Source organism: Homo sapiens, chromosome 7 (assembly GCF_000001405.40).
Source record: "Homo sapiens chromosome 7, GRCh38.p14 Primary Assembly".
Classification (NCBI taxonomy): domain Eukaryota; kingdom Metazoa; phylum Chordata; class Mammalia; order Primates; family Hominidae; genus Homo; species Homo sapiens.
The window spans coordinates 112,892,293-112,909,749 of NC_000007.14; the positions used below are offsets into that span (position 1 = coordinate 112,892,293).

General features: G+C 36.9%; 1 protein-coding gene across 1 annotated transcript in view, besides 2 other annotated features; it reads right to left on the bottom strand.

Annotated features, from left to right (window-relative positions):
* SAMTOR (S-adenosylmethionine sensor upstream of mTORC1) overlaps positions 1-17,457 on the bottom strand; it is a 120,729-nt gene that overhangs the window by 73,146 nt on the left and 30,126 nt on the right. Inside the window, exon 3 of the mRNA NM_152556.3 lies at positions 3,277-3,447. Within this exon, the coding sequence (NP_689769.2) occupies positions 3,277-3,447 (171 nt within the window). The remainder of the gene's footprint in view (positions 1-3,276; positions 3,448-17,457) is intronic.
* Positions 6,328-6,427: an enhancer, noted in NCBI's record as "active region_26518". NCBI's record gives its function as "activates an Ori minimal core promoter by ATAC-STARR-seq in GM12878 lymphoblastoid cells {active_cell/tissue: GM12878}" and the evidence as "EXISTENCE:reporter gene assay evidence [ECO:0000049][PMID:35858748]".
* Positions 6,608-6,657: an enhancer, noted in NCBI's record as "active region_26519". NCBI's record gives its function as "activates an Ori minimal core promoter by ATAC-STARR-seq in GM12878 lymphoblastoid cells {active_cell/tissue: GM12878}" and the evidence as "EXISTENCE:reporter gene assay evidence [ECO:0000049][PMID:35858748]".

The window sequence follows — 17,457 nt, forward strand, 5'->3', positions numbered from 1 at the left end:
TTGGAATAAACTCCTCCAAACTCATATTCATGTTAATATTCTGATCTGCTCCCATGAATCACAAATGTTCTTAATGGCATCTAGAATGGTGAGTCCTTTCCAGAAGGTTTTAATGGACTTTGCCCAGATCCATCAGAGAAATCGCCATGACAACTACAGCCTTACAAAATGTATTTCTTAAATAACATGACTTGAGCCAGGCTCAGTGACTCATGCCTGTAATCCTAGCACTTCCAGAGGCTGAGACGGGAGGATTGCTTGAGTCCAGAAATTTGAGACCTGCCTGGGCAATATAGGGAGATTCTCTCTCTATAAAAAATTTTAAAAAAGTTAGCTGGGCATGGTGGTGCATGCTTGTGGTGCCAGCTACTGGGGAGGCTGAGGTGGGAGGGTCACTTGAGCCCAGGAGGTCAAGGCTCCTGTGAGCTGTGATCATGCCACTCCACTCCAGCCTGGGCAACAGAATGAGACCCATCTCCAAAAAAAAAAAAATAATAATAATATGACCTGAAAGTCTAAATTACTCCTTGATCCATGGGCTGCAGAATGGACGTTGTATTAGCAGGCACGAAAACAACATTCATCTCCTCGTACATATATATCAGAGCTCTTGGGTGACCTGGTACATTATCAATGGGCAGTAATATTTTGAAAGGAATATTTTTTTCTGAACGGCAGGTCTCAACACTAGGCTTTAAATATTCCGTAAACTATTCTTTAAACAGATGTGCTGTCATCTAGGCTTTGTTCCATTTACAGAGCACAGCCAGAGTAGATTCAGCATAATTCTTAAGGGTCCTAGGATTTTCAAATGGTAAATTAACACTGGCTTCAACGTAAAGTCACCAGCTGCATTAGCCCCTAACAAGAGAGGCTGCCTGTCCTCTGAAGCTCTGAAGCCAGGTATTGACTTCTGATCTCTAGCCAAGAAACTCCTAAAAGGCGCCTTCTTCTTCCAATAGAAGGCTTTTAAATCTACATTAAAAATCAGTTGTTTACTGTAGCCACTTTCATGAATGGTCTTTGGTAGATCTTCTGGATAACCTGCTGCAGCTTCTAAATCATCACTTGCTGCTTCACCTTGCACTTTATGTCATGGAGATGGTTTCTTAGACCTCATGAACCAACCTCTGTTAAGCTTCAAACTTTCTTCTGAAGCTTCCTCACCTCTCTTAGCCTTCAATTGAAGAGAGTTAGACCCTTGCTCTGGATTAGGTATTGGCTTGAGGGAATGCTGTGGTTGGTTTCATCTTGTATCCAGACCACTCAAACTTTCTCCACATCCACAATCAAGTTGTTTTACTTTCTTCTCATTCCCGTGTTCACTGAATAGCACTTTCAATTTTAAAAATAATTTTTCCTTCACTTTGGGAGGCCGAGGTAGGTGGATCACGAGGTCAAGAGATCCAGACCGTCCTGGCCAACATGGTGAAACCCCGTCTCTACTAAAAACACAAAAATTGGCTTGGCACAGTGGCACGCACCTGTAGTCCCAGCTACTCAGGAGGCTGAGGCAGGAGAATGGCGTGAACCTGGGAGGCGGAGCTTGCAGTGAGCTGAGATCATGCCACTGCACGCCAGCCTGGGCGACAGAGCGAGACTCCGTCTCAAAAATAAAATAAAATACAATAAAATAAATGACTTTTCCTTTGAATTCACAACTCAGTTAATTCTTTGGTAGAAAAGGCCTAGCTTTCAGCCTATATCAGCTTTTGACATGCCTACCTAACTAAGTTTAATCACTTCTAGCTTTTGATTTAGTCAGAGGAGTGCCTCTTTTTACTTGTATACTTAAAGGCCATTGTAGGTTTATTAACTGGCCAAATTTCCCTAGTGTCTTATGGAATAGAGAGGCCTGGGGGTGAAGGGAAAGAGAGAGAGAAGAGGGGGAGGGGGAGAGGGAAGAGTGGGGAGAGAGGAGAGGGGAGAGAGACTGGGGAACAGTGGATCCGTGGAGCAGTTAGAACATACATGACATTTATTGAATAAGTTCACTGTCTTATATGGTTGATAATAAGTTCACTGTCTTATATGGTGCCCCTAAACAATCTTAATAGTAACATCAAAGATCACTGATCACAGATCACCAAAACAGACATCATAATAATGAAAAAGTTTGAAATATTGTGAGAATTACTAAAATGTGACAGTGTATTAGTGCGTTTTCATGCTGCTGATAAAGACATCTCTGAGCCTGGGTAATTTATAAAGAAAAAGAGGTTTAATGGACTCACAGCTCCATGTTGCTGGGGAGGCCTCACAATCATGATGGAAGGCGAAAGGCATATCTTACTTACATGGTGGCAGGCAAGAGAGAATGAGAGCCAAGCTAAAGGGGAAACTCCTTATAAAACCATCAGATCTCGTGAGACTTACTCACTACCACGAGAACAGTATGGGGGAAACCGCCCCCATGATTCAATTATTTCCCACAGGGTCCTTCCCACAACACATGAGAATTATTGGAGCTACAACTCAAGATGAGATTTGGGTGGGGACACAATTAAACCATATCACAGAGCCACAGTGAGTACATGCTATTGGGAAAATGGTGCCAATCGACTTGCTTGACTCAGGGTTGCCACAAACCTTCAATTTGTAAAAAATGTAATATCTGTGAAGTACAATAAAGCAAGCGCAATAAATAAGTTATGCCTGTACTAATAATTAATTGGATTATAATAGTCATGTACTTATAAAATTTATGCCTATATGCATATAATCTTACTAGCAGGCAGATTTTCTTACCAACAATAAAACAATGGTAATTGGTTCTATTAATAACCTTTCATTATTTTTCCTTATTTGTAAATTCTTAGTGGATAGCCACTTTAATTGTATTTTGCTGTTTTGATTCTTTGTTTTGATAATTACATAAGAATTACATATTGTTATATAATTACATATTACATTGTACATTATAACTATATAATACTATTATATAACAATTATATGTTATATACACACATATAGCCATAACATATATGTAATATATATAATTATGTAACAATGTATAATTATATAATCGTATTTAATGAACCATTCTTTCTCATTTTCAGTTAGAACAACACATGCTACAGAACCACTAGTTTTCCAGATAGCTCTTACAATTTTCTGCTAGTTTTTAATCTAATAATATTACCTATCTGCATTTCTCAGTCTATCATGTAACTACTGGAGGAGCAAGTAAACTGCTCACTGTTTAGTATGAACCACTGCATTATTTCACATTAATACAGTTATCCAGGATAATCAAAGTAGAAAAAGTATACTTACTCAGTTATAAATTCAGGGTTTGTAAAGCTGAGGTTGGTTAAATGACCTTCAAGTTGAGAAGACTCATGCATATTTAAGGCTGGAGTGGTCTTAGTGGCAAGTACAGCTCTTTTTTCATCTTTCTCAAGTGCTTTTCTCTTCCCACCATTTTGGAAATATTCTCTGCATACACTACAAGTAAAAATAAAGTTGTATTTTAACATACTGTGTACGACTACAAAATAAGACGGAAAAAATTGGCTTTTATTAATCAAGATGGGAAACTTTCAAATTTAAGATTTCTGCTTTGAAAATGTCAAACTGAGATAAATTTGAGCACCTTGTAGCACTTTCAAATTTTTAAAAATTACTATACAATAAAGAATGATCACAAATTATGTTTAGTAAATAAAAAATATGTTTTTTCAGGATTACAGATGTGTTTGTATATACTTTACTGAACTTCTCTCGACTAAAACTTCTCCAGCAAAGCTTACATAACTCTACTATGCAGTGACAACATCCAGAAGGAATAGTAGTTGCAGTTAATTTTGAGCTGGCTTTACTAGTAGTAGACAGATAACCCAACAGCTGTTCTTGAGGTCCCTCTGGGTTTATGATAACAAAGTCAGGGTGAGTGTGCGTGCACGCGCGCACGCGCGTGTGTGTGTTTGTATGTATGTGTATATATATGTGTATATATGTATATATGGAGAGCGAGCGAGCTCATTTTTCTTCTTATTTGCACTTAATTTACTACATATAGCTCATACTTTACACAAAGCTATTTTATCATTCTCCACAGACATTGCTTGGTGAAGTTCCAAAAATACATGGCAAGAGAAGAATTGAAGAGCAAAGAATTCATGCAAAACTGGTTTCAGCAAGTACAACTATGGTCCAAGGGAACTATGCCCATTTCTCCTTCATGCTTACAGGATCCCATTAGTTCAACTTCAGTTTTTCTTAGTTCCTATTACTAAGACTTCTTTAACTTATACTATGTAGATTTAGTTTTAACTCTATACGCAGAAGTTGAAACTTATTCAGCATGAATTAAACATTTATTAAGTACGCATCATGTGTAGAGGTGCATAATGATGGCCAAATTGCAGAAGGCATAGTTGTTACCCTCAAGAAGCTACTGTTACCTCAGTAAAGGACACAAATAATTACTATATATAACAATAAAAAACATGATTGATAAACAGATAAACAAAGATAGTTATTTCTATAAATAAAGTACCTAACCCAATCTAAAATCAGCAATATAAATGGATTTTAGAAAGATAAGTAGGAATAAACCAGGAAAGTAAAGTAGAGTGGAAACTTTCTAGGCAGAAAGGACAGCATAAGCAAAGACATGAAAGAGAAAAGCAGAATGAGTCTTCAGAGATGTACCTCAGTTCAAGATACATGAAGTTTAAAGTACTGGGCAGAAGATGAGTGGACCTATTCACAAATGAAAAAACCCTGAGCCTAGTGCACACATAAAGAGGAAGGAGAGCCAAGGTATGCAAGCTTCAAATCACACAAGATCCACAGGCCAATTTTAAAATGCAGTCTTTACAAATCTAATCTAATGACAGAGAGCAGTTTAGAGGTTGCCTGGGATAGGGTGTGGGGACGAGTGCAAAGGGGTACAAGGGAGCTTTCTGGAGAAAAATGTTCTATATCTTGATAGTGGTGGTGGTTACATAAGTGTAAACAACTGTAAATACCCACTAACTGTACACTAGATGGGTGCATTTTATTGTATATAAATTATACCTCAGTAAAGCTGATAAAAATGTAGACTTTATCAACTTGAAATTAATACTAAAAAGCTTGCTTATGTTTCTATCAGGTAGAACCATATAAAACTGGTGATATTCAAAAGTTCTTGAGCTACAAAAATTGCAATTTTATGTGGTCTAACCTAACAGCTACTAAGGCAGTAAAATACTTAAAGGGCTAAAATTCTAGGTTCTCATAGAATAATGACAATCATCTAAATTCCAATATCCCCATATACCCTCAAAAAACATACAGATCAATAAAGAGAGCAAATAAAAGCACTTACCATTTATACCTATGGCATAACAAGGAAATAAAAAATAACACTTCATTTTACTTGTTATTGAAAAAATAAAAATCTGAAACCGAGTTGGCTTTGGAGGCCACTCAAAGTACAGAGTCAGATGACGACTGCATAAAAGAGAGAAATGTATGAAAAGGTGGCCAAACAGAATCTTCCAGCAATCACCCCCTAGACCTGCAAGAATATCAAATTGAGTAACTATCCATGCAAAAAAGCACCTTCATAAGAACTAAGTCAGTTAAGAGATCACAGTTCCTACAAGAAAAGATGCATTGAAGATGATAGGAACTCCATAGACAGTCTTGAACTGTCTATACCATCCTCTCCCAAGCCCCGGCAGTACACCCCAGAGAGATAATCTTTGTGCTTTGCAGAGGGAGTGTGAAATAACTACGGGACTTTGCACTGGAACTCCATGTTGCCCTGTCACAGTGGAACACAGCACTGGGCAGAAATCTACTGGTGCCCACAGGGGGCATTTAGACCATCCTTGAACAGACAGAAAGAAGTCTGCTGCCCTAGTGGGAGGAATCTTAGTCCTAGTCTGCTTTGCTACTGGCTGAATAAAGTGGCCCTGGGCTCCCAATAAATGTCAGTGGCAGCCAGACCATGGCAACTGTAGTCTTTGGGTGAGCCCCAGTGCTGTGCTGGTCTCAGCAGAGGCTGTGAGCCCAGGGTACTACAACCAAGTGTGACACCAGCTGTGGTGGCCATGGGAATGCCTCCATCACCCCTCCCCTCATTCTAGGCAGTACAGTGTAGAGACTTCTTCCACTTGGGGCAAGGAGAGGAAGAGTATAGGAGACTTTGCCTTGCAACCCAGGTACCAGCCCAGCCACAGTAAAACAAAGCACCAGGCAGAATCCTAAAGCCCCTGATTCCAGGCTGTTGTTCCCACATGGCACTTCTAGACCCACCCTGGGACAGAAGGGAATCCTCTGCCCTGGGGGGATGGACCCCAAGTCCCTGCAGGATTCATTACCTGCTGACTAAAGTGGCCTTGGACCTTCAGTAAACATCAATGACAGTTCAAATATGACCCAGCATGAGGCCAGCTGTGGTGGCCACAAGAGTGTCTGTGTCACTTCTTCCCCAACTCTGGTCAGACCAGCATAAACAGACACTCATTCCACCTGGGGGAAGAAGAGGGATTTTGCCTGGGAACCCAGCAACTTCTCCCTTATCTTCAAGTCCATTAGGGCTGGGAATTCAGCAATCTGCAGAAGTTGCAGTGTACCTGGGCTTAGAGTGCCCTCTAGTGCTGAAATGGTTACAGTGACCACAGGCTTAGGTAATACTTTAGATAAACTCTGAATGCTTAGAAGGCCCTCTGAAAAAGGATGGATACTAACAAGTCCAGATTACAAAGACTGGAATAAATATCTAACTCTTCTATGCCCAGACACTGAAAAACATCCACAAGCATCAAGAACAGTCAGGAAAATGTGACCTCACCAAACAGACTAAATGAGGCACCAGTGACCAATCCTGGAGTAGTACAGATATATGACTTCTCAGGGAATTCCAAATAGCTTTTTGAGGAATCTCAATGAACTTCAAAAAAACAGAGAAGGAATTCATAAATCTTTCAGGGAAATTTAACAAAGAGATTAAAATAATTTAAAGAATCCAACAAAAATCCTGGAGCTGAAATATTCAATTAATGAACAAAAATATGTATTACTATCTAAACAGAATTGATCAAGCAGAAGAAAGAATTAGCTTAAAGACAGGCTATTTCAAAATACAGAATCAGGGGAGAAAAAGAAAAAAGGAGTGAAAAAGAAAGAAGAATGCTTACAAGTCTGGAAAATAGCCTCAAAAGGGCAAATCTAAGAGTTATTGGCCTTAAAGAGGAAGTACAGAGACTGGGGTAGAACGTTTATTCAAAGGAATAATAACAGTTTTCCAAACCTAGAGAAAGATACAAATATGCAGTTATAAGATCAAAGAACACCAAGCAGCTTCACCCCAAATAAGACTACCTTCAAGGCATAAAATCAAACTCTTATAGGTTAAGGACAAAGAAAGAATCCTAAAAGCAGTAAGAGAAAAGAAACAGGTAACAAATGAAGGAACTCCAATACATCTGGCAGCACACTTCTCAGTGGAAACCTTACAGGCCAAGAGGGAATGAGATGACATATTCAATGTGCTGAAGGAAAAAAAAAAAAAAAGGAAACAACTTTCAACTGAGAATACTGTACCCCGCAAAGCTATTCTTCAAACACAAAGGAGAAATATGTAGATAAACAAAGATGAAGGACTTCACACCAGACCTACCTTACCAGAAATGCTAAAGAGAATTTTTCAACTTGAAAGAAAAGGATGCTAACACACAATAAGAAATCATCTGAAAGTATAATATAAAACTCACTGGTAAAGGTACATACATAGTTAAATTCAGAATACTCTAAAACTGTAATTGTAGTGCATAAACTATTCATATATTCAGAGGAAAAAACCCAATGGGATAAATTTATTATATCTGTACATATATATATATATAAACAGATATCTAAGAAGAGATTTGTAATAAGGAATTGGCTTATGTGATTATGCAGACTGAAATGTCCCACAATCTGCTATGCCTAAGCTGTAAAACCAGGAAAGCTCCAATCCAAGTCCAAAGGCTTGAGAACTATTTTATAAGTTCTGGTCCAAGTACAAAAAGGCTTGAGAACCATTTTATAAGTTGTAGTCTAAGTTCAAAGGCCTAAGAACCAGAAGTGTCAATGGTGTAGGTTCCAGCTAGATGGAAGGCCTCAAAAGAGGCCTACTCACCCACAATAGAGAGGGCAATCTGCTTTACTCAGTCTACAGATTCAAATATCAATCTCATTTGGAAACACCCTCGCAGACACACCCAGAAATAATGTTCGGCCAAATATCTGCGTACCTTTTGAATCAGTAAAGTTGTGAATAATATTCCATAATACCTAAAATTAACATAGGCAACACAATATTGACAGAAAAACAAACTGAAGGACTACTACCAACTTCAAGACTTACTATAAAGCTACAGTAATCAAGACAGTGTGGTAATGGTGAAAGAAAAGACAAATACATCAATGGAACACAATAGAGAGTGCAAAAATATACCTACAAAAATATGGTCAACAGATCTTTGAAAAAGGAGCAAAGGCAATACAATGGAGAAAAAAGAAAATTTTTTCAACAAGTCATGCTAGAACTAGACATCCACATGCAAAAAAAGAAAAAAAGTAAATCTAGATATAGACCTTACACCTTTGACAAAAATTATCTTGAAATGCATCATAAATGCAAAATGCAAAACTATAAACTGTCTAAAAGGTAACATAGGAGAAAACCTAGATGGCATTGGGTATGGTGATGACTTTTTAGACATGACACCAAAGGCATGATCTGTAAAAGAAAAAATTGATAAGCTGAACGTCACTAAATTAAAATTTTTTGCTTTGTGAAAGACATTGTCAAGAGAATGAAAAGAAAAGCCACAGACACTGAGAAAATATTTGCAAATCATACATATCAGGGGTCCCCAACCCCCAGTACTGGTCCGTGACCTGTTAGGAACTGGGCTGCACAGCAGGAGGTAAGTGGCAGGTGAGTGAGTGAAGCTTCGTCTGTATTTACAGCTGTTCCCCATTGCTCGCATTACTGCCTAAGCTTTGCACCTTGTCAGATCAGTGACAGCACTAGATTCTCATAGAAGCACGAACCCTTATTGTGAAATGTGCATGTGAGGGATCTAGGCTGCACGCTCCTTATGAGAATCTAAAGCCTGATGATCTGTCACTGTATCCCATATAACCCCCAGATGGGACTGGCTAATTGCAGGAAAACAAGCTCAGGGCTCTCACTGATTCTACATTATGATGAGTTGTACAATTATTTCATTATATATTACAATGTACTAATAATAGAAATAAAGTGCACAATAAATGTAATGCACTTGAATCACCCCGAAACCACCTGCTTCCACTCCAGTCAATGGAAAAATTGTCTTCCACAAAACCAGTCCCTAGTGCCAAAAAAGTTGAGGACTGCTGACATATACAATGAAGAACTGTTATCTAAAATATAGAAAGAACTCTTAAAACTCTGTAAGAATGCAAATAAATTTAAAAACCAGGTAAAAGACCTGAACAGACATCTCATCAAAGAAGATACACAGAGTGGAAGCAACAAGAATGCTTATCAAGTGCTGATGAGAATGCAAAATGTTACACTTTTTACAGCAGCTTTATTCATAATTATCAAAACTTGGAAGCAACCAAGATACCCTTCCATAGGTGGATGGATAAACTGTGATACATCTAGACAACAGAGTATTATTCAGCAGTATAAAGAAATGAGATATCAAGCCATAAAAAGACACAGAAGAACCTTAAATGCTAATTACTAAGTAAAAGAAGCCAATCAGAAAAAGCTACAAACTTTATAATTCCAACTATATGACATTCTGGAAAAGGCAATCTATGAAGTCAGTAAAAAAGGTGGTGGTTGCAGGCCGGGCGTGGTGGCTCATGCCTGTAATCCCAGCACTTTGGGAGGCCGAGGTGGGTGGATCACCTGAGGTCAGGAGTTTGAGACCAGCCTGACCTACATGGAGAAATCCGTGTCTACTAAATATACAAAATTAGCCAGGCATGGTGGCGCATGCCTGTAATCCCAGCTACTTGGGAGGCTGAGGCAGGAAAATTGCTTGAACCGGGAGGCGGAGGCTGCAGTGGACGGAGGTTGCGGTGAGCTGAGATCGCGGCATTGCACTCCAGCCTGGGCAACAAGAGCAAAACTCCGTCTCAAAAAAAAAAAACAAAAAAAAACAAAAAAAAACAAAAAAAAAAACCAAAAAAGTTGGTGGTTGCAGATGGGTGAAAAGGCCGGCACAAAGGATTTTTAGGGCAGTTAAACTATTCTGTATAATACTATAATGGAGGATACATGTCATTATACATTTTTCAAAAACCATAGAATGTACAACATCAAGAATGAACCCTATGGTAAACTATGGACTTTGGGTGATAATGATCTATCAGTATAAGTTTAACAACTCTAACAAATGTACCACTCTAGTGCTGGATGTTGACAGTGGGGGAGGCTATGCATGTTTGGGATGGAGTGGTTGTATATGGGAACTTTCTGTACTTTCTGGTCAATTTTATTGTGGGTTTCTGGTCAATTGTGTTGTAAACCCACTGCTCTAAAAAATAAAGTCTACTTAAAAGAGAAAACAAACCAACCTTGGGATAAATATATCATGTATCTCCTGATGTATTAAACTGAGAGGGACACAACATCACCTATGCAAAACTCTTGCTAACAATACACTTAACTTATATCTAATCACAAATAAACTACACATATCCAAATTGAGAGGCAATCTATAAAATGTTGACTTTTAAAAAATGGCCGCATAGGCCAGGCACAGTGGCTCATGCCTGTAATCCCAGCACTTTGGGAGGCCGAGGCAGGCAGATCACCTGAGGTCAGGAGTTCAAGACCCGCCTGACCAACATAGTAAAACCCCGCCTCTTCTAAAATATAAAAATTAGCTGGGTGTAGTGGCAGGTGCCTGTAATCCCAGCTACTCGGGAGGCTGAGGCAGGAGAATTGCTTAACCCTGGAAGTGGAGGCTGCAGTGAGCCCAGATCGTATCACTGCACTCCAGCCTGGGTAACAACAGCGAAACTGTCTCAAAACAAAAAAAAAAAGTCGTATCATAAAAAGACAAAAAAGAAAAGAAAAAAATGATGAATTTTTCTAGATTAAAGACCAAAAAGGCTTCACAACTAAGTGCAATGAGTTATCCCTGATGGGATCCTGGATTGAAAAAAAAAAAAATACAGGTATAAAGGACACTATTGTGAAAATTGGGGAAATTTGATTATGGATTACATTATTAGTTAGCATCACATTAATGCTAAATTTCTGGAGTGTGATAGTTGTATTATGATTACGTAGAAGAATGTTCTTACATGATACACACTGAAGTATTCAGGAATAAAAGTCTGGTAATTTCTGTAACTGACTCTCAAAAGGTTCAGCAGAGAGCAAGAGAGAAAAAGGACCCAGAGGAGAAAGAGGAACAAGATACAAAAGTAAGACTAAGTAGAGTAACATTTTTTCAGAAGCTGAAGGAAAGAAAGTGTGAGTCAAGGATTTTCTATCCATCCAAACTACGTATCTTGTAACAAAATTATACAAAACCAGTTTGTAAGATGGGTGAACTCAGAGAACATCATAATTCCAAGTTGTTTTTAAAAAATCTACTGGAAGATAAACTTCATCTATGAGATGATTAAGAAATGTTGGTGAAGAAGTAGGGAATAAAAAGCATTAAATCACTTAAAAAAAAAAGCGGGTACTTTAAAATGCTAAAGGCATTCAATTCACTTCAATTCCCAGTGAAGATATAACTATTATAAATAGTTATGTATCACTTATCATAGCAGCCATCTTTACAAAGAAGAAATTCCATGAGATGTATGGAGAAACAGACAAACACCAACAACAGGGACTTTCCACTTTCAATCAAGAGAATGAAAAGGTTACAGAAGCCCTAAAAAACATAATAAAGTTTACCTTATTGCTAGAAGATGAACTCTGCATTCAGAGAGAATAGCTTCTTTTTAATTATACATGGAATAGTCACAAAAATTACCATATATGTGTATTAAGTCATGAAGAAAACCATAGTAAAAACCATAATGAAAAAATACAGACAAAATTATACAATTGCAATGCAATAAAATGAGAATTAACCAAAAACAAGAAATCCATTCTATCTGCTATTTTTTAAAAAAGTAAAAAAGTAAATAACTTGGGTCAGAGGGCAAATACTAATAAAATCACAGAATATCTAAAAATAATTAATGAAAGCATTACAAGTCAGAAGCTAAGGAATGCAACTAAAATAGCAATCTGATGAAAACTGAGATGCTTTAATGCTTATATCAATACAAACAAAAGAAGAAAATCAAATGAAATAAACATGGAACTCAAGGGATTAGAAAATGAAGCAAAAGAAAGGAAGAGTGCCAACAAATACACAAAAACTTGTGCAACTTTTTTCTAGAAAAATACACCAAATATATAGAATAGAAAAATTTCTTAAACTTGACTCGGTAGAAATAAAAAGTTTAAACAAAACAAAAATCCAAAGATGAAATAGTTATCAGAGTTAATCTTACCAAAAAGCACCAGTACAAGCCTTCAAAAACCAGATAACCCCTGTATTAATCATGTTTTTTACTTTATCTTTCATATTTTGATATTTTGGGAGGGGTGTTGGAGGGTGTGCTTATACATCCAGAGAGAGACTGCCCCTCTCAGGACCAGCTAATTCCTTAAGGTGGTAAACTTACTTGGGAAAACATTTCTCATATGCAAGCCAACCGCTATCTAACTTTTACACATAGACCATTAATTCCCCACTACTAAATCAACTCAAGACCATATACCAGACAACAACGGACAGCCTCTAGTCCCCAAAGCCTACTGAAATTATTCAACCTAGCCAATCCTAAACCGTTTACTCTGCCCTGCCTTGGCTTTTCCATAAAAAGGTCAATAACAGCTCTGGTCTAGGATTTCCTTTAGCTCCTGCTTCTGACTCCTGACAAAATCTGGTGCTTCCTTTATAGCCCTGCATGGTGCAGTATGTCCCCTTCTCTCAGGAAATATAAGTAATAAATAATTATTTCAATGGCATTGATCACTCCATGTTTTCCCTCAGTCACCTCTATAAATTAAAATTCCACTGATACATGTGAGACAACCCCAAAAGTACTTAAACTGTTCCAAACCATAGAAACAAAAACATTTTTCCAAATTCATTTTCAGGGAGCAAAATTACAATAATACTTATCTGATCTCATAAAGACTACAAAAATAAAGGCCAATATCACTTATAAATATGAATAAAAATATGAAATTAAATTTTAACAAACAGAATTAAATATGACCAAGTGATATGTATTTCAGGAATGCAAGGATGGTTCAGCATAAGAAAATCCACTAATATAATTCACTATATTCATAAATCTAAGAAGAAAACACATTTATTCTTCTCCATAGATGTTGAAAGGTCATTCAACAAAATTCAAACCCATTCCTAATATAAACACTCAATAAAATACAAGTTGGCAAACACTTCCTTAATATTAGAAATATATATATATACACACATCAGCCAAAAAGCCAGCAACTTAATGAAAATACACCACATACATTACTGCAAAATGAATAAAGCACAGCTACGTAATAGACAAGAGAAAAAGATTTAGTCAAATGAATAAGAGAGGAAGAAATAAAACTTTGTGTATTTATAGATGACATAACAGATACACCTTGACAACCCAAGAGAATCAATCATAAACTCATATAAACAGAAAGAAAATTCATTAAAATGGTAGGATGTAAAACATTAAAAAATGAAAATCATCCATATATATATGTACACACACAACAATATCCTGTTAGAATATAGTCATGTGTTGCTTAACAATGGGGATATGTCCCAAGAAGTGCATCATTAAGGTGACTTCATTATTGTGAAATCACCCAAGTATACTTAAATCTAGATGGTATAGCCTACTACACATCTACAGCATGTTACCATACTGAATACTGTAGGCCACTGTAACACAATTGTTAAGTATTTGTGTATCTAAACATAGAAAAGGTATAGTAAAAGTACAATATTATAATCTTATGGGACTACCATTGTATGTAGTCCATATATTTCCACTGTTGATGGAGATGTCATTATGCAGTGCATAGCTGTATAAACAGAAGGGAAGGGGACATTTACAACAGCAATAAAAATGACAAAATACCTAGGAGTAAGCACAACAAGAAATGTGCATAATCACTATACAGAAAACCTTAAAACACTACTTTGCAAAGTAGTCTGCTACTTTTGACTAAAGTAGACTAGAACAAATGGAAAGACATATCTTTTTTTTTTTTTTGAGACAGAGTCTTGCTCTGTCACCAGGCTGGAGTGCAGTGGTGCGATCTTGGCTCACTGCAACCTCCTCCGCCTCCTGGGTTCAAGTGATTCTCCTGCCTCAGCCTCCCAAGTAGCTGGGACTACAGGTGCACACCACCATGCCCAGCTAATTTTTGTATTTTTAGTAGGGACAGGGATTCACCATGTTGGCCAGGATGGTCTCAATCCCTTGACCTTGTGATCTGCCCACCTCGGCCTCCCAAAGTGCTGGGATTATAGGCATGAGCCACCATGCCCGGCCGACGTATCTTTTTAATGGATAGGATGACTCAACATTATTGAGATATCTGTTGTTCCCAATTTATGAAAAATTAATGTAATCTCAATAAAAGTAATTTTTAAAATGTAGTTGGACCAGTTGATCCTAAAGTACATGTGGAAAAAAGCAAAAGCAAGAAAAACCAAGAAAACCCTGAAAAAGAATAGTGTGAGATGGGGGTATGGAGAGAAGACACTACAGAACAGCATTGTAAGTCTTTATGATTAAAATAGTGATAGTAGGCATGGATCAATGATATACACAATGGAATATGACAGAAAAGCTAAAACAAAACCAACTATATGGGAAAACTTAGTACATCATGTAAGTGTCATATCAAATTACTGAAGAAAAGGTAAAGTTTTTAATAAATGTTGGGGAAATGGATAACTTTGGTAGAAAAAAAATTAGATCAATACTTCACAAGAAAGACCAAATTTGACTTTTAAACAGGTCAGAGATTTAATGTAATAAATGAGAAATCCCCTAAGTACTAGAAGAAAACACGAGTGAATAACAAATTGTTATTTGAATTCCTACAGTCTGGTAATTAGGAAAGCTTTTCTAAGACAATAAAAATCTGGAAGCAATAAAACAGAAGACTGATACATCTAACTACACAAAAGCAAAAACTTTCTGTATGGCAAAAGATATAGTCAAAGACAAAGGGCACAAATATTTATAAATGATATAAAGAGCTCCAAAAAAATCAAGAAAAATTAGAGACCAAAAGTCAACAGAAAAAAAAAACTATCAAAAACATGATCACATAATTCACAGGAAAAAAAGGCAAATGACTCCTAAATATATAAAAAGGTACTTTACCTCATTCATAAGAGAAATGTAAAATAAACTCAAGCTAGAGATACCAATTCCAATCTATCGGAGAAAAATTCAATAGCTGAGCCACATACTATGTTGGTGAAGTTATAGAGAAATGGGTATTCTTACTTACTTATTTATTTATTTATTTATTTATTTATTTATTTGCTGGTGAAACTGCAAAATGATATAACCTCTACACAGGGCAATTTGGCAGCACATCTAATAAAATCACATATGCATTTAATCTCCATTCCTGCAATTCCACACCTAGGAATCTACAAATATACAATGACAAAAATACAAAATGCACACACACAAGGTTATTCATTACAGCACTATTTGTAGTAGCAAAAGCTTGTAAACAAGTCATGAAAATGAGGAATATATCTGTATACCTGTGATGGTTAATTTTAGGTATCAATTGTCAAACATTATCTTAGGTGTTTCTTTGAGGGTGTTTTTGGATGATATTAACATTTACATTGGTAGACTAAATAAAGCAGACTGCCTTTCCTTAATGTGAGTGGGCCTCATTCAGTCAGTTGATGCCTGAATAGAACAAAAAAGCTGACTCTCTCATGAATAATTAAAGAGAATTCCTCCTGCCTGACTGCCTTTGAACTGGGACACCAGCTTTTTCCTGCCTTCAGACTCGAAGTGGGTCTAGAGGCTGCTGGCCTTTAGACTGGATCTATACCTTCAGCACTCATGGATTGCCACCTTGCCCACTCACCTTGCAGATCTTAGGAGTTGTCAAACTCGATAATCATATGCATTAATTCTTTATAACAAATCTTACTATACACACAAACAGACACATCCTATTGCTTCTGTTTCTCTGAAGACTCCTGACCAATACCAAATACAGTAATTCTCATATTAAGTAAAAAAGAAAGGTACAGAGTATATAACAGTATACAACACACTACCACCTACAGGGATAAGAAAGGGTGGATATATGTACATATGCATATGTACATGGATATGAATTTGTTTATTTTTGCAAAAACAAACACTGGTAGGATAAAAACAAAACAAATGAAAATGGTTACCCATAGGAGGTGTTACCCGGTGTAATGCCTATATGACAGTTGAATTCTGATCCTGCCCCAACTCTGCTTACCTTTAAGAAACAGGATACCTGTAATAAAAAGTTCCCTTTGAAATAACGAGACCGGGTGAGACTGGTTAGAACCAAGATAGCTGACATAATGAAAAGACCTCACGTTTCATTATAATCTCATTTCCATGCTAAATGAAATGGTACTCCCACCAGTTCCATGACAGTTGGCAAATGACCGTAACAACTGCAAGAAGCCATAAAAGGACAAAAAGGATGGTGGCACTCCAGTTCTAGAAAGTTCACTGCCCATTTCTAGAAAAGACATGAATATTAATCCTCTTGCTTTTAATGTCCAATGCCTTCATTAGAAAACCCTATATTTTAACCCCCCAGCCTATCACTAGTGGAGAAGTTGAATTATGAGCCATGCTCCTGCTTCTCAATTCCATGGCCATCAAATAAAGCCTGCACTGCTTGATACTCACTTCTGGTTTTGTGTACTGGTTTTGTGACAATGAACAGGGAAAGACCCCATCTTTTGGGAAACCAGCTTTGTTGGTAACAGAGGCAGGTGTAAATGAAGAAAATAAAAGGGAGTCTTTTTTGAGTATATCTTTTTATAAGGTTTGACTTTTGAACCATGTAAATGTTTTATATTCTCCAAAATTAAAATAACAATAAAAAACGCCCCAAACTGAAAATTAAGTGAAATCAACTGTATAGCAAATTGGTATTACAACCATACAGAAAATAACTGTTTCAAGCAACTTTTAAGCATATATTCTGATCCTTGGTGGGATATGTTCTAAAGACAAAAGAACTGCAAAGAAATCTTACATTTCAGTTATTTTATTTTTAGAAAATCAGTATTGCAATTTTTAAATCATTTTATGTAAATTGTAGGAAAAGGCTAATGTATTAATGTAATTCAGAACCAAGTCCTTCGGTGTAACAGAAGAGAAATAAAAAACAGA